This window comes from Homo sapiens, chromosome 12 (assembly GCF_000001405.40).
Source record: "Homo sapiens chromosome 12, GRCh38.p14 Primary Assembly".
Classification (NCBI taxonomy): domain Eukaryota; kingdom Metazoa; phylum Chordata; class Mammalia; order Primates; family Hominidae; genus Homo; species Homo sapiens.
Window position 1 is genome coordinate 30645139 of NC_000012.12, and position 19212 is coordinate 30664350.

At 34.4% G+C, this 19212-nt stretch overlaps 1 protein-coding gene across 5 annotated transcripts in view; it reads right to left on the minus strand.

The window, feature by feature from the left end:
- Positions 1-19212, minus strand: part of IPO8 (importin 8) — a 66882-nt gene that overhangs the window by 16151 nt on the left and 31519 nt on the right. For 4 of the 5 annotated variants that reach the window (NM_006390.4, XM_017018691.3, XM_017018692.2 and 1 more), the window contains 7 exons: positions 18351-18516; positions 17189-17349; positions 16003-16128; positions 11546-11612; positions 7829-7954; positions 7054-7151; positions 3999-4094 (listed from right to left, as the gene is read on the minus strand). In NM_006390.4, coding sequence (NP_006381.2) covers positions 3999-4094; positions 7054-7151; positions 7829-7954; positions 11546-11612; positions 16003-16128; positions 17189-17349; positions 18351-18516 — 840 coding nt within the window. Of the gene's footprint in view, positions 1-3998; positions 4095-7053; positions 7152-7828; positions 7955-11545; positions 11613-16002; positions 16129-17188; positions 17350-18350; positions 18517-19212 lie in introns of those variants that run through there. The other variant, XM_017018693.3, reaches the window with a different exon arrangement.

Here is a 19212-nt window from a genome sequence, read left to right on the forward strand (position 1 = left end):
TGAGGCTGGTGATCACCTGAGGTCAGGAGTTCGAGATCAGCCTGGCCAACATGGCGAAACCCCATCTCTACTAAAAAAACAAAAATTAGCTGGGTGTGATGGCGCACGCCTGTAATACCAGCTACTTGGGAGGTTGAAGCTCAAGAATCACTTGAACCCAGGAGGCGGAGGTTGCAGTAAGCCAAGATTGCGCCACTGCACTCCAGCCTGGGTAACACAGCAAGACTTCATCTCAAAAAAAAAAAAAAAGAGACAGAGAGAGAACCAAATATAAATTGTGGACTTAAGAAGTGTAAGCAAACATCTCAAATCAATAATCTAACCTGTTACTTTAAAACATTGGAAAAAGAACAACTAAACAAAAAGCAAGCAGACGGGAAAAAATAAGGATTAGAGTGGAAACTAATGAAATGGAAAACAAAAATAGAGAACAAAACCAAAAGTTAGCTCTTTGAAAAAATCAAAATTGATAAACTTTTAGTCAACTAAGAAAAAAAGAGAGAAGACTCTAATTACTAAACCCAGGAACAAAACAGGGTCATTACTATGGAACCTACAGATACAAAAAGACATAAGGAAATACTATGAACCACATGCAATGAATTAGATAAATTACGTTGAAAAATTCCAAGATGCAAACTACTGAAATGAATTTAAAAAGAAATGTAAACTACGAATAAATCTATAACAAATAAAGAGACTGAATTGGCCATTTAAAACTACCCACCGAAAACAAAACAAAACAAAACACAGACAAAAATAGGCCCAGATAGTTTCACTGCTAAATTCTACCAAACATTTAAAAAAGAAGAGCAATTCTTCACAACTCTTTGAACAAAGAGAAAGGATGAACGCTTCCCAACTCATTCAATGAGTCCAACAATACTCTGATACCAAAGCCAGACAAAAAACATCACAAGAAAAGAAAGTTAGAGATCAATATATATTATGCACATAGACACAAAAATACTTTTTAAAAACTACCAGGAAATTTAATCTAGAAATACATACAGAGATCATATTTGATAAGTGTGATTTATACCAGGAATGCAAGTTTGATTTAAAATCTGAAAATCAATTAATGTAATACATCTCTATTCTAAAAGGACAAAAACTACATGATCATCTCAATAGATGCAGAAAAAAGCATTCAGCAAAATTCAACACCCTTTCATGATAAAAGCAACAAGTTAGCAACAGTCAAGAACTGAACCTGACAAAAGGGCATATATGAAAAGCCCACAGGTAACATCAGACTTAATGGTGAAAGACTGAATGTGTTCCCTCCTAAGACCAGGAACAAGATGAGATGTCTCTTTTCATCATAGCTATTCAACATTGCACTCCAGCTTCTAGCCAGGGCAATTAGTCAAGAAAAATAAGAGGCACCCAAACTGGAAAGGTAAAACTCTTATTTGTAGATAATATGATCCTGTTTACAGAAAATTCTAAAAAATCCACTAAACCACCATTAAAACTAATAAATCAGTTCAGCAAGGTTGCAGGATACAAGATAAACATGCAAAAACAATTATATTTCTATACACTGGCAACAAACCTGAAAATAAAACAACTCCATTTACAATAGCGTCAAAAAGAAAATATATAAAAATATTTTAGGAATAGAATTGAAAAACTTATACTCTGATAACAACCAAACATTGTTGAAAGAAATTAAAGAAAACCTAAATAAAAGAAAGTCACCCCACGTTCAGGGATTGAAAGACTATTTTTAAAACAGAAATACTTCTCAAACTAATCTACAGATTCAGCACAATGCCTGTCACAATCCCAGCTGGCTAATTTACTGAAATTGACAAACGGATCCTAAAACTCGTATGAAAATTTAACGGACCCTGTCTAGCCAAAACAATCTCACAAAAGAATGCAGTTACAGGACTCAAACCTCCTGACCTCAAAACTTACTACAAAGCTAAAGTAATAAAGACAATGCAGTACTGGAATAAGAACAGATAAGTACATAAATCAAATAGACTGAGTCCAGAAAAAACCCTCACATTACAGTCAACTGATTTGACAAGAATGCCAAGACAATTCAATGGGGAAAAAATAGTCTTTTCCACAAATGGTGCTCAAACAACTTCATAACTACATGCAAAAGAATTAAAATGCAGACCCCCTCCTCACATTATGTACAAAAATTAACTCAAAATAGATCAAGACCTAAATATAAGAAAAAAACTATAAAACTCTTAGAACAAAAGAGGATAAATCTTCATGACACTGGAGCTAGCAATGTTTCTTAAATATGACAACGGCTGGGTACAGTGGCTCATACCTGTAGTCCCAGGACTTTTCTACAAAAATTAGCCAGGTGTAGTAGCACGTGCCTGCAGTCCCAGCTACTCAGGAGGCTGAGGTGGGAGGATTTGGAGGTCAAGGCTGCAGTGAGCCAAGATTGTGCCACTGCACTCCAGCCCAGGTGATAGAATGAGACCGTCTCCAAAAAAAAAAAAAAAAAAAAAAGACACCAACCACAAGCAATAATCATAAAAAAAAATTAATGGACATCATCAAAATTAAAAACATTTGTGCTTTAAAGGACACCATCAAGACAAATTGGGAGAAAATTTTGCAAATGATACCCGATAACAGGCTTCAATGTAGAATATATAATGAACTCCAACAACTCAATAAATAGACAAATAATTACAAATGAGCAAATGATCCGATTAGACATTTCTCCAAAAAAAGATATACAAAAGGCTAATCAGTACATGAAACATGCTCAAGATCATTAGCCATCATAAAAATGCAAATAAAAACCACAATGAGACACTACTTCACAAATGAAATAAGTGCTGGCAAAAACACAAAGAAATTGGAACCCTCTATCATTGCTGTAGGAATGGAAAATGGTGCAGCTGCTTTAAAAACAGTTTGACAGTCCCTCAAATGATTAAACACAGAATGACCATATTCCACTCCTAGGAAATGAAAACATATTCACACAAAAACTTGTACACAAAAGTTCCTAACAGCATTATTCATAATAGCCAAAAAGTAAAAATAACCCAAATGACCAACAACTGATGAATGGATAAAATGTGATTTAACTATACAATGAAATATTATTTGGCATTAAAAGAAATAAAGTACCAATACACACTACCACACAGATGAACCTTGAAAACCTATGACAAGTGAAAGAAGCCAGTCACGAAGGACCACATATAAGATGATTACATTTACATCAAATGCCCAGAATACGCAAATCTATAGAGACAAAGTCATAGTGGTTGCCCAGAGCTTGGGGCGAGTGACTGTTAATGAGTTTTTTGGGAGAGGGGTAATGACATGTTCTAAAATTGTGTAACAGTTGCACAATTCTTTGAATACACTAAAAACCATGTATGTATACACTTTAAATGGATGAAATGTATGGAACGTGAATTAGATCTCAAAACTATTATAAGAAATACATAAAGCAAAACTTACAGAAAAGAAAAATTCAATTTTACTGGAATATTTCAACATTTTTCTTAGTTATTGAACATACCACAATAGTATCAAAAATTGCATTAATCTTGTTGAAAAAAGATTAAAAATTTATAACATGAAAAATATAAAGTATAAAATTTAGCCTTTTAAAATGGTCAAGAAATATTTTTTTCTATAGTACCTTAATTTCTGGTTAGAAAAGGTACCTAGGAGTATTTAAATAGGATACACAAAACAAAGGGAACATGAAATCTCTGAGACTCCAACTGAGTAGAATTTATACGTTTCCTTCATTATTTTTTTGATAGCCCCTTATATTATTACATATTTTTCTGTGCATACCTTTTTCAGCTACAATGCAAGGTACGGTTTCCAAACTACCTGGCTCTTTTTGTCATTTAAACAGAATTTGCACCAGAAAGCACAATCTATAGGCTGTCCTTTCCATTTTTCATCATAATATAAATGAAAAGTCAAGCAGGCATGTAAACTTCAAATGTAACCCTCAAGTAAGGCACTTTCCAGACATATATTACCTGATCAATTCCCCTTCCTTTGCACTGAAGAATGATGACTTCCAGAAGTTTAGCTGCATGACACTCTGCATCTTCTCCTGCATCTCCACATAGTACCTGCAGTAATTACAATTTAGCTCAGCAGTAAGTGGCACTGCATAGAGGTTAATCAAGTCCACATGCACAAATGTCCCATATAAATTCAGCCATAGGAACCACAGCTTTGCTTGCTGTGCAAGTTTACCTCACCAACCCAAAGAAGAATGGTCAAAATAAATTCCATCCATCATCTCATTTCTTATAAGGAGCAATAATTCACTTATTTGACCTTGGATTAATAAAGTAGACTATATGAGCTAATTTTCCACATAAATGAAGCTTCCCTTTAAAGGCAACAAAACTACAAAATGAAATCAAAACCAAAACAAAATAATCTTCTTATTAAACAATGAAACTATTTTTCTGTTCCTTTTGAATCCTGGTCCATATGAACCCATTTTTTTCATAACCACCATAATTTCATATTACATACCTTTCAATTCTCCAACATGAACTTAATAATTAGGAATATTTTTCATGGACATTGTAACCATTTATAACTATACAATATGACAGTAGGTGAATATAACAAAGTTATCAGACAGTTCCCCTATTATTAATTCTGTATTTTCACTATTATAAACAATTCCACAATGCACATGTTCATACATAAAATGTGGAATATGACTGCCTTATAATAAGATTCCCAATAATGTTCCTAGAGCATGCTTATATTAAAAATTGTTTAAGGTAAAAAGAATAAATTAATGATTCAAATATAAGACATAAGAAAAAGAATAGACTTAAAGAAATAAGGGTGGGCCAGAAATTTAAAATATAGACAAAAAGAGGTAACAGAGAGAACTAAAAGCAAATTCATTGAAAAAAAAGACTTAACGAAGTAAGAAGCTTTTTATATAAGTTATTTTTAAGAAGAAAAAAAAGCAAAACATTAAAAATATTAGGAAAGAGACAAATACAGACAAAAGACAGATTAGAAATAATACTATAAAGAACACTATATTCTTTACATTTAAAAACTCAGATTAGATGATTTTCTAGAAAAATAAAATTTAAGAAAAATTAATTAAGAAATTCCAGATAATTCTGACAGATTTAACATTCCCATTTAATTTCATTCTCTCCCAAAATGCTATCAAAATGACAACAGAGAAATTTTAAAGATGTACATATACAAAGACAGAAAAAAGTAGAGAGAACAGCAATACACATTTTGGAAGCTGGAAAATAGTGAGCTGAATGATAAGCAGATATCAGGCAAAGCCAAGAGTCAACTGTATTTACATAAATTTAAAATGCTATCTCTAGGACAGTATACCACAGTCTAGCTTCTAAATGTGAATGGACTCTGGAACCAGGCTGCTTAGGTTCAAACCGCAGCTCTTCCACTTATTAGCTGTGTTTTTAGAAACGTTACTTAACCTCTTTTACTGTCCCCATCTATAAAATGGGAATAAAAGAACCTACTTCATGGGGTCGTATGATACAAAAAGAAAAATAATTACTCCCTTTTCTCAAAATTGCATTTACTTGGGGACCATTTGTTTTGGTTTGCCAAAAGGAAAGAAAACAAAAATGTATCTTGTAATTTTTTAAATAGGCTCTGGAGTCAGATTAGGTTCAAATCTGGCTCCAACACATAGTAGCTATGTGATTGCAACTATTTCCTAACCTCAGCATAGTGCAAGAAACTATGTCTTAGTTTCCTTTTGATACAAATGTGATACCTTCCTCATACTGTCATAAAGGTTAATATTATAGAAAGTGCTTAGAAAATGGCTGGTATACAATAAGAATTCGACAAATATTAGCTAGTATTAAAACTAGTATTTCATATTCATAAAAGAATATGAAATATATTTTAACTACTTGATAAGCATAAGGAAATCATTGTGAACATCAATTTTACTATATCTGCAAATACACAGGGGAAGCTGTGAATTACTAATGGAATACACAGAACTGTTTTACTTGTTTCTTTCCCTCTTTCTCTATCAGCTACCTCTCTAACAGGGAAAACTGAAGACTGCCCGGTGATTATGATTTAACAACATGGGTTATCCACAGAGGTAAATGAATCATTACAACTCACAGTTCAGCCCCTTCACTTTACACCTGAAGCAGCTTACTGACTTCCCAAAATTTCCCTGACTCTTTAGAACTGAACTGAGACCTAGACCTAAACCAGATCTACTGATTATCAGTGCAGAGCTCTTACCAGATTTTGGGTACACCCCTTCTGGTAAGGAAAACAAAAGTGTGTTGGGAGGGTTGTACACTAGCTATTTCACTCCCAGCTCTACGGCCAAACGTTTTGGTTTCTGGTTATTTGAGCTTTATAAAATCTGCCTGCCAGCTTTATGCAATATAGTTTCAGTTTCATATTTATGTGTGTGTGTGTGTGTATGTATATATTTACTTATTTATTTACCTAAAGGAGAAGAAAACCGTTATTTAGCCAAAGATCCCAAAAGATAACCAATAGTGGGCCAAACCTATCTTGTGGCAAAGACAATATGGCAGACAATCATGTTTGTGTATAAGGATAACAGTAGCCATTATGTAGATTGTAGATTATAGATTATCTTGTTAAATGATGCTTTTCCAACTATTAAAATTTTTATCTTATGTTGTTTATGCTCAAATTACCTACATCTAGTGACTTCCAATATATACATTAAATTAAAAAATAAAAAAGATCATTCCATTTGTCACTGATTAACAAAACGTGTGGTTAATTTTCCTAGCACTTCAATCAAGTAGAAAATTCATGTCCAAAAGAAAAAACAAAAAGTAAAAAGTACAGATATAGAAGTGGCAAACATTCATAAGCACGACACACAATATGAAACTTTCAAATCCCAAAGATCCTTTTGAAAATACAAATGAAAAAATATATGTTGATGAAGATAATGCAGAACTAAATGTGTAAGAAACAAACTGAAAAAGTATCCTGAAGCAAAACAGGCAAACATTAGTTAAGAACCACTGAAACAATAGATTAGGTCATGCTTACCTTCCTACACATTGTAAAAAGAATTTCTAAATGTTTTGCATTTGATAGTAAGGTATCTGTATCTATTGTCACATAATTATGCAGGAGAGGCATCATGTCTGAAAAAAAATCAAAATCCCAATGAGACTTGAGTGACAGAAATAGAAATAAATTATTCCCACTGAAACCATATTTCTGTAGCACCCACACATTAGTATCTTCCCATGCAACCACAAAAGGCTAGAAATGAAAGTAATAAGTCTGATGTGTATTTATAGATGGGGAAAATGTGGAGCAGAAAGACTAAGATGCTCATCATTTATGAAGTAATTGTGCTGAATTTTTTCCCTTTCTCCACTGCACACTCATCCCTATCTGACATACTTTATATTTTCTTGCTCATTTGTCTGCGTGATTCCCTACCCTCCCATCATCCCCATTAGAATGTAAGCTTCAAAAGGGCAAAGCCTGTTTATTTTGCTCACTGCTGGATTGCTGAGATTAGAATAGGGCTTGGAATATAGTTGGTGTCCATAAAATACTTATTAAATTAATATATGGATATATGCTCTGGTCATAAACTAACTTAAGACTCAATAAGAAATACAGCCTACCTCCTCTGCCTATATACCTAGGGCTGAAAAACACTGCTACAATAGCCCCAGCTTTTATGTGACCGGGAAATAAAAACATTTTCTGATCAATATTGGAATCATATGTGTTTTTATTTCAGGTGTCAACAGGAAGAAGTATCTAGACACAGAAAAGCAAAAATTTTATATGGTCAAAGCCATACCTGTAAAGTATTCAAAGCAATCCTGCTGAAACACTTCATATAGTATACCTAGAAGCTGCCACATTTGAGGGGAAATACTGTGGCAGGTTAAACTGTATGCCAGGGAAAGAATTTCTTCATAGAATTCTAGAAGAAAGAAAATCTCTAGTTAGAATGCTAGGAAATAGCAAAAGTTAAAACAAAGACCACACAGAGGAGGGTTTAGACTACCTACGCACACAGAGTCCTCCTCTATCCAATGTACTCATAAGCCTCCCTTTCTCAGTATTTGTATCTTCGGCTATGTATCTGCCTCCTTCCATTTCTTACCAAGATCTGCCCCTCTGTTCAATAAGGCAAGGCAAAAATTTGTTTTCACTAAACTTTCTTATACTATTGAAAAAATAAAGTTTTTTTCTATTTTATAATCTATATTTATAAAACTGTATTAGAAATAGATACAAGAAGGAATAGATTATCATTCCTCATTTATGTCGAGGATTTAAAATGTACAAATAATTAATAATATTCTTTGGAGAGCTTAATTATATCAGACTAAAGTATCTACCTATCTCAAATTTATACTTTTACTAACAACTATATACTGGGCAGTATTTTGTCAATTTACAAAACTTGTAAAACGTACAGTATTCTTCAAGTTAATCAAGACAATAAGACCCACTATAAAGTAGAAGAGTTCAAAGGAAATGTTCTTATACTCACAAATATCATTATCCTCAGTCAAAAGTAAATTATATCTACACGTACAGCCAGGAAACACAAATCTCAACAAAAATTTCAAATAGTTCCTACCATACCACTGAGCAAAGAAGTCTAACTTGAAAGGTTTTTCCTCTTATAAAAACTAGTGGTCACCCTGGAAACTTGATTAAGGTTTCTCTAACATTACTTAAAACTTAATATATTCAAAAGCTAGCAAAATAAAATGGAAATTACAAATATTGATGAATAATTTATGTAAGAAAATAATTTGAAAAATAAATTATCTAAATATGGAATTTCTAAAAGTTCTAGCATGGCACTGGGATAAAAACAGACACACAGACCAATGGAACCGATTACAAAGCCCAAAAGTAAATCTACCCATTTAGGGTCAATTAATTTTCAACAAAGATGCTAAAAACACACAATGGAGAAAGGACAGTCTCTTCAATAAATGGCACTGGGAAAACTAAATATCCATTTGCAGAAAATCAAATTAGACCCTCATCTTACACCACATACAAAAATCTACTTGAAATTAATTAAATACTTAAGCTCTAAGATCTGACATGATAAAACTACTAGAAAAAAACACAGGGGAAAAGCTTCACGGAAACTTGGAACACTGGTCCAGGGAATGATTTTTTTTTTTTTTATATGAGGATATGACCCCAAAGCACACACAACAAAAGCAAAAACAGACAAAATAGGATTACATCAAACTAAAAGGCTTTTGCATAGCAAAGAAAACAATTCACAGAACAGACAACCTCCAAAATGAGAGAAAATATTTATAATCTATATCAAATGAAGATTTAATATCCAAAATATATAAGGAACTCAAACCATTCAGTAGAAAGAAAATAACCCAACTTAAAAATGGGCAAAGGAACTGAATGGATATTTCTCAAAAGATTATATAAAAATGGCCAACAAGTATACAAAAAAATATTTTAAATCACTAATCATCAGGGAAATGCAAATCAAAACCACATCATATCTACGAGAATGTCTATTATCAAAAAGACGAAAGTTAAATGCTGGAGGGGATGTAGAGAAAAAGGAAACTGTTGTATACTCTTGGTGAGAGAGTAAAAACAGCCACTGTGGAAAGCAGTATGAAGGTTCCTCAAAAAATTAAAGATAGAACTATCATATGATCAAGTCATCCTAGTACTGGGTATATATCCAAAGGAATTAAAATCAGGATCTTGAAGAGATAATGTGCCCTCCTATGTTCACTGAAGCATGTTTCACAATAACCAAGATATGAAAATACCTAAGTGTCCACTGACAGATGAACAGATAAAGAAAATGTGGTATATATACATGATGGAGTACCAGTCCACCTTAAAAAAAAAAGAAAATCCTATTATTTGTAACAACAGAGATGGACACACTATGTTAAGTGAAATAAGCCAAAACAGAACTTTCAGAAATTCTTTTATTATTAATTAAAGGCCACAGTTTACATTAAGGTTCACTCTGCATTGTTCATTCTAAGGGTTTTGACAAATGTATAGTGACGTATTCATCATTATTGTATCATACAGAGTAGTTTCACTGCATAAAACTTCTGTGCTCTACCTCTTCATCCTTCCCTCTCTCCCATCCCCAAGCCCTGGCAACCACTGGTCTTTTTACTGAAAGATGTACTTTTTAAAAATATTTATTTTTTAATTGACAAATAAAAATTGTATCTATGATTTATACACCGTTTTGAAATATATGTATTTTGTGGAATGACTAAATCTGGCATCCATTACTTCACATACCTTTTTGTGGTGACACCACTTAAAATCTACTCTTAGCAATTTTCAAGTATATAATACATGGTTACTAACTATGGTCACCATTTTGACCAACATCTCCCCTCCCTCCACTTCCTGCTAACTAAATTCTGTTCTTTCTATGAGTTTGAGATCTTGTGGTATCTGTCTTTCTGTGCCTGGCTTATTTCACTTAGCATAATGTACTCCAGGTTCACCCATGTTGTCACAAATGACAGGATTTCCTTTTTAAGGCTGAATAGTATCCCACTGTTTATATCTACCATGTTATATTCAAGTACTCTTCAAATATTATTCACATATATTAGCAGTGCATGCTCAACTTTTTACTAACAGAGTGAACAATAAAAAGCCTGGAGACAACTGCTCTTAATCAGAGACAGGCTTTTCCTGCATCCTTCTATCTGAGTACTACACAGCTTGCATCTGTGTCACACCCACATGACGTGGGGCTAGCATCTTCAAAATGCTTGAATACGATGGAAGACTCACCTCCTCTACAAAATTCCCATCAGCTTGTAACATCTAGCATTAGTTACTGATTCTACTCAGAAGTCAGGTACCATAATAGATAATAGGACAATTAATTCATACTTTGAGACAGGATCTCACTCTGTTGCCCAGGGGGAGTGCAGTGGCACAATCACAATTCATGGCAGCCTCTACCTGCCAGGCTCATGTGATCCTCCCACTTCAGCCTACAGAGTAGCTGGCACCACAGACACATGCCACCACACTCAGCTAATTTTTTTTATTTTTTGTAGAGACAGTGTTTCACCATGTTGCACTGGCTGGTCTTGAACTTCTGGACTCAAGCAATTCACCCACCTCAGCCTCCCAAACTACTGAGATTACAGGTGTGAGCCACGGTGCCCAGCCATTTCACATTTCTGATTTTAAAAAATGCCTATTAAACATTTTTCAATCCCAGATTAAGGTAACCTCACCTAAACCTCATCCCAGTTCATTTCTAGCAATGTACAATTTAAAATTACTGTCCTTTAAAATTCTAAAATCAAAAATTATTCGTTGGATGTATAATTTTTTATCTCTGAATGAAAATACAGATATTTAACACTAGAAAGGACATCCAAAAATTGAAGTGATTATGCTTCTCTTTCTCAAAATTGTCCATCTTGTTAAATCTGAAGGGCTAAAATTATACTTTGAGTTCAAATTTTTAAAATTTTTTCAATTTATCTTTTTATTTAACCTTTGAACTTACCAATTACATGTTTCTGCAGAACAAGATCAATGATCCGTAGACAGATATTCTCTAACTGCTGGGTAATCTAAAGATAAATGTTAAATATTAAGCTTAAAATTATCATAATTAATACATAAATTTAATATTGTGCCAATAAAAATATCAAGAGGACATTTTTGAGACGGTAACTTGACAATTCTAAACTTCATGTGAAAAACTAAACATGCAAGAATAATCAGAAAATTTTGAAAAATAGACTGACAGAAATGGGGGTAAAATCCATAACAATTTATATTAGTTCCTTACCATATATTTTATACCAAAATAAATTCCTAATAGATAAAAGATTTCAGTGTGAAGAAATAAACCATAAAAAAATAGAATAAAAAGAATTATTGTATAATCCTGAAAAGGGAAAGTGACTCAAAGCCCAGAAATAAGAAATGAAAAGAATGAAATCATCTGACTAAAAAATTAAAGAATTTTGCATGGGGCATGGGGAAGTAAAAAAAAATGAGTGAAATATTTTCAAATGGTATCACAAAGATCAAATTCCCCTTACATAAAATTAGTGAATTTTTAAAAATTGAAATACAATAGAAAACAAATGTGTTTCTTTTTTTATAATCTTTGCCTGTGTTTATAAAAAGATGTTCGTTATAATACATGGTAAGAGTACAAATTCCAAGTGCAACATTAACAATTTTCACCTATTAAGACTGGAAATGATCACAATTATGGGGCTGGGAAGAAAGACCCTGTTGTATATTGATTTCTGGAGTGTAAATGGTATACACAATGAAGGACAAGTTGGCAACATCCTTCAAACTTACCCATACAAATGACGATGCAAACCAGCAATTCCACTTCAAGGGATTTACCCTTCACACATATTATGTGTGCAAAATGACACATAAAAGGCCATTCATTCATTTCAGCAATGTTTGTGATTACTAGCAATCAAATGCCCATTTAAACAAGAGACAGTTAAATTATATCCACTAAACCGGGACTGGTGAAATAAATTTGACACATCATACAAGGGAATATTAAGCAACCATTAAAAATATATAACTTTATTGATTGACATGGAAGGATCATCAAGATATATTAAGTTAAAAATGGCAAATAAAAACTGTGTATAGCATGCTATCATTTTCGTAAAAGAAAAATATACACATTCACTTTTTGCTTATATGTTAATAGAAAAATCTCTAGAAGGACCCGAAAACCTGGTTTAAAAAAAAGGAAAAAAATAGCTGCTTCCAGAGAGGAGAATTAGATAGCTGGGGAGTTGAGTGAGAAGGTAAAATTTCACTGAATTTTCTTTTCACATCTTTTGAATTTTTCAACATATGTTGGTATCAAATATTTTAAAATAAGTTAAAATCTATGACGGGTTACATTTTTCGTGTAAATGTCCTATTTCAACCATCAAGTATATTCTAATATTCAACTTAAACTACTGTCTTAAGGTTCAAATGATCCAAAATTTCCCACTTTAAAAAACTGTCAATATGCTTAAAACCATTAAACAAAAATGCATATGCTTAAGCACCTATTTTAGATTCACAATTTTGTGTTTCATACACTATTTGTCAGTGTTTCATAAATGTGGTTTTTCCTTTTAAGGAAATATTGTTTTCAAAGTTTGCTTTTAATAAGTTAAAGCTCAAAATCTTGGTCAAGAGACGAAGATTCCGGTTGGTTTTGCCTGTAATTATTCATGGCCTTGGTAAAGCCATTTAGCTGAAGGCTTTAGGTTTTTTTTGTCTTTAGGTAAGGATGCTATATTAGTGTGTCTCAATTTTCACCCATGCCTCTCTTGATAATCACAATAAGTTCACCTGTCCCTTTAACATTATTTGGAATTCAAAATAAATTTAATATCAAGAGAAAAAATAAAAACAGAAAAGATGCTGTTTTGTTTTTAAACTACCCCTGCAGCTCATTCTACTACGCCCCACACACACTTGTGAAAACTGGATAAGGTGATTTCTAAGGTCTCTTCAAATTTAAAATACAAGTCCTAAGTATAAGACAAAAGAACTATCCCTTAAATTTACTTGTAATTTAATTTGGAACATCTCACTGTTACCAAGAGGACCATTTAGTTTCAATACAGAAGGACACAAAAATAAAATAATGAAAATGAAAATAAAAATTAAGCCCTTTAGGCAAATGAAGACTAGTCCAGAAGAGTATCAAGCCTTTTTTTTTTTTTTTTTTTTTGGAGACAGAGTCTCGCTCTGTCCCCCAGGCTGGAGTGCAATGGCATGATCTCGGCTCATTGCGAGCTCCGCCTCCCGGGTTCATGCCATTCTCCTGCCTCAGCCTCCCAAGTAGCTGGGACTACAGGCGCCCGCCACCACGCCAGGCTAATTTTTTGTATTTTTAGTAGAGATGGGGTTTCACTGTGTTAGCCAGGATGGTCTCGATCTCCTGACCTCGTGATCCACCCGCCTCAGCCTCCCAAAGTGCTGGGATTACAGGCATGAGCCACCGCGCCGGGCCTTATCAAGCCATTTTTAAGAACCAAGTCAGCCGGGCATAGTGGCTCATGCCTATAATCCCAGCACTTTCAGAAGCCAAGGCGGGCATATCACTTCAGGTCAGCAGTTCCAGGACTGCCAGACCAACATGGTGAAACCCCTTCTCCACTAATAATACAAAAATTAGCCTGGCGTGGTGGCAGGCAGCTACTCGGGAGGCTGAGGCAGCACAATCACTTGAACCGGGAGGCCAAGGTTGAAGTGAGCTGAGATTGTGTCACTGCACTCCGGCCTGGGCAACAGAGCAAGACTTGTCTCTGAGCAAGACTTGTCTCAAACAAATAAACAAAAAAAAAAAAACCAAGTCATCTTCCATTGGCACGTCATAAACACAGGATAAACCAACAGCTACGGCTGGGCACGGTGGCTCACACCTGTAATCCCAGCACTTTGGGAGGCCGAGGTGGGCGGATCACGAGGTCAGGAGATCGAGACCCTCCTGGCTAACAAGGTGAAACCCCGTCTCTAATAAAAAAAATTCAAAAAAATTAGCTGGGCATGGTGGCGGGCACCTGTAGTTCCAGCTACTCGGGAGGCTGAGGCAGGAGAATGGCGTGAATCCAGGAGACGGAGCTTGCAGTGAGCAGAAACTGAGCCACTGCACTCCAGCCTGGGTGACTGAGTGAGATTCTGTCTCAAAACAAAAAAAAAAAAAACCCACAAAATCAAAAAAAAAACCCAACAGCTACATGGTTTAACAATGCTATTTAAAGTAGTAGTAGCAGCCAGGCATGGCGGCTCATGCCTTTAATCCCAGCACTTTGGGAGGCTGAAGCGGGTGGATCACCTGAGGTCAGGAGTTCAAGACCAGCCTGGCCAACGTGGTGAAACCCCATCTCTACTGAAAATATAAAAATTAGCTGGGTGTGATGGTACACACCTGTAGTCCCAGCTCCTCGGGAGGCTGAGGCAGGAGAATTGCTTGAACCCGGAAGGTGGAGGTTGCAGTGAACCAAGATCATGCCACTGCACGCCAGCCTAGGTGACAGAGTGAGACTGTCTCAAAAAATTAAATAAACAAATAAAAGTAGTACTAGCACCTGCTTCCTAAGTGCTCACCTTGTAAAACAATAATTGCCATCAGTGCCAAACAAGTCAACTTGCACTCACAGAAGCAATGAACAAAAATCTAATTTGAGTTAAGGAGAGGCCATGGGATACTTGGGAAGCAGCTGTAGGTTTTAAATGGGGATAAACTGATACATTATCAAAATGATGTGACTACAAACCCAAATGTACAACTTACTAGCTCTGGGACCATGAGCAAGTTTCTTAAATCCACCTGAACTTTGTTTTCTGCTTCTGCAAAACAGACTACCATTACCTGTGCTAGCTATGTCATGGTGGCACCAGTAAGATCATATCAGCTGATGGATGTGAAAGCACTAGATAAATAGCTGTATAAAGTCTTATCCCAATAACACTTTGGAATTCAGTTGAGTAAATATGCTTTTCAGCTCTTTCATTTATTCCTTTCCATTTTTACAGTACTTGTTATATCAGAATTCTGTTCCATTACCTAACACTTGCCACTGTGATTGAACTGCTGTCTGTCACTCTCTACCAAGAATTCTAGATTGTTGGTTCCCAGAAAGCTGGGCTCATTTCTTATTCAATTTGGTATTCCCCAAGAACCTAGCCTGGCACATAGCAGATATGATTAACTGAACTCAAGTTAATATAAAGGGATATACTATATACTTTATAATATTTACATTATAATATTACAAATATTATGATGTAATATTATAATGTTACTCAGTCATTTTAATATGTTTCCATAAAATGTGAGGGCAATTTTTAAAGCCTAGCAACATAACTAAGTAGCAATTTAAAAGTGGAGACTTCAAAATTCATGGCCACTGATCACATAAATTTCAGTTAAATGCTACTATTATATCATAAACCACAAAGAAATCTCACCTCTTTATGATCTTCTACAACTGTTAAGATAGTATCAATGGTATGTAAAATTCCCATAGCCATTACTGTTTTGTCTTCAACTTCTTCATATTCATCACTTTGAAGAACTTTGCCAAATATCTCAGCCTATGAAAATAACATTAAAGTATTCCGCAATTAGTAGTACTGTTACGTCCCCGCTTTACAAAAGTTAGCAAAATGGCAGTGTCACACATCTGAAGTCTGCATTGCTCAAACTTTGAAGTCTGCACTTTGCTGACTGAATCATCTCTCTTCTTAAAATAACAGAACTTGTCATGTTTTAAATATAGCTATTTACATTAACTATTATATCCAGAGAGCTAATATTTAACTTCTGGTTGTCACTAAGCAAGTAAAATCACAATCTAGGACAAGTGAAATCAAGTAATAGTAAAAAGAAAAATGCAATAGAAGATTGAGAAGTCGAGGAATCACTTAGAAAATGAAACAAACAAAAAAAAAAAACAGACATGGAAAACAGGAGGAAAAGTTTTTAAAAAAATTAAGAGACACAGTCCAGATGTGATTCTCCATATCAGGAAATACAAACAGAAAAAAAAATAGTAAGGAGAAATTTATCAAAAAAGTAAAACAATAAATTGCCCCAAACTGAAGGAAATGAGCTTCCTGATTCAAAGCCCAGAAATTAAAACTTTAGAAAGCACATATTATAAAATTTCAGAATATTCTAGATGAAAGAAATTATCCTAAATGTGATTAAAGTCTAATGAACTATAGTAATATCAGAATAATTTTTTTATCAATATTTCAGTTACAGTCATGCATCGCTTAACATGGATATATTTTGAGAAATGTGTCGTTAGGCAATTTCATCCTTGCTTGAACATCATTGAATGTACTTAGGCAAATCTAGATGGCATAGCCTATTGCTCCAAGGCCACAAACCTATACAGTTTGCTAATGTAGTGAATACTTAGGCAATCATGACACAATGGAATTATTTGTATCTAAACATACAAAAGGTACAGTAAAAATACGGTATTATAATCTTAGGAGTGCACCATCGTATATGCAATCTGTCATTGACTGAAATGTTGTTAAGCAGCACATGACTGTACAAATAAAACTGAACTCCATATTTTGGAGTTTATTTAGATTACTCAAGGTTTCTAAACCAAATTAACATAAAACTGCCCGGTCTTACCAAGTGTTGGGTCATATCAACAGCAATTGAGGCTACCTCTTGACTGTATTCACATATCATCTTCTGGATGACATTAGTAACATCATCATTTTCTGTCTCTCTAACAATGTGCAACAGTTCCTGCATAATAGGCCTCACATGTGGCTTCATATATTCCTTAGCTAATTCAATAAAACAAACAAAAGTAATAAAAATTACCATGCCCAGATGATAAAAGGAATTAACTTGGTCACAAGGTCAAGTGACCCAGGGTAATACCTAAATCAGGTTCTAGATACACACTTGCTCTGTGGTAAGTTACAAAGCTGTACCTAAATAATGTTCACCAATATATCAGTTTCCCAAGAGTAATATAAGGATAAGAAGTCCTGCACAGGAGAGAACTGTCCTGTGCAGAAACTATCCCAAAATACTAATAGCCCCCACTGAGAAATTCTAATTATACATACACTTGGTCATCAGAATGACTTGGAAAACATGAATCAGTTCTCATGACAAGTTATAAAAAATCATGTACGTGAAGACTATCCCGAATACTGATGGGGCCCCTTCCCTGCCCCAGGCCATCTCTACCACCCTCCCTTGCCATGTGTACAATATCCAATCCTCCCACTGAAACATTGCTGAATAGAGGCAAACTACGTTCACGTTCTTCATAAAGCTGAACTTACTTTCAAAGGTTTATTTGAACTTTGATCAGAACACTGAACAAATGAGACGTCTGTTATCACTCACTAGAAATACTACTTGCTACTTTCAAAACTAGGGGAATCAGAATCCCAGAGGTGAAAGGAATCATGAAGTCATTCAGTCCAACTCCCCTAAACTTAAATATGTGGAAACCTGAGCCTTGACAGATCACACACCTTGCCCAGGTTTCCATGGCAAGTTAGGAGCAAAATCAAAACTGGGCCCAGGTCTCTTTATGCCCAGCCTATCCTAGGGCCCCACAATGATTAACATGTTTCCTAACCTAAAATTCTGAAAACTACAGTCAATAGGAACACCTAAAAAGGACAAGAATAAATTCCTACAAAATTCTGAGAGGGCAAAACCTCAGAATTCCAAACCCTGAACCCTCAGACATGGAGATGCATCTTCATTAGGGAAGAAAGTAAATGAAATTATTTGAGAAGATGTCTAAAAGGTATTTTGGCTTTACCTTGTATCTGGTTAGAAATTAAAGACTGAAGAGCAAGGGCAGCTTCAACTTTGACAGGCATCTCTTTATCTTCAATCAGGCTCTTCTTCGCTAATTCAACGGCATTTCTTAGATTGAGCTCATTATGGAACTTCAAAGAACTAAATGCATGAAGTACCCAGCAAGACTGTATTATTAAAAAAGGTAAGTAGGGAGCTATTAGGATTATAGCATTCTGTAATAATATCACAGATATAAGAACTTCTTAGTAAAATATCAATTCTATGAAGAAATGTTTGCTTTTGGGGTAACACAGTAGCCTTAGTTTCTAACTTCTACATCCCCCTTTTTACAAGTAAGGCATTTTCATTACTTCTAAATTACCCATATGCAATAACATTTTTCATAGGAAAGAGAAAAAGAAGCCAAATATGTCTTTGACAAAAATCTATTTACGCTTTTAATAAATATTATAACTCATAATTAATTTGTTATATGTAAAAGCAACTCCAAACCAGTATCTGAAATTCATTTGTCACACTTAGGTAAAACATTATTTTCCCTTACACTAACTGGTTTAGTAAGCTTCCTTTTTTTCACTCTCATAGGTACCAAAAATTTTAAACCTGGTATAGATGATCACATTTTAACTATTAGACCACAGAATCATTATTATATTTTACTCTCTGTGTGCATCAAACACAATCAACAGAAATTAATTCTAGTTACTAAAGACTTTTAGCAAGAGAATCACAATTCATATAACTTCTCAAAGGTAGGAGCCCCACTGTAAAAATGCTCATGTGCCCTCAGCGTCCCTAGTCCACATTTGCCCAGATATTGCGCTAGTAACTATTATTTTATAAAATGCTTTCTAGTGTAC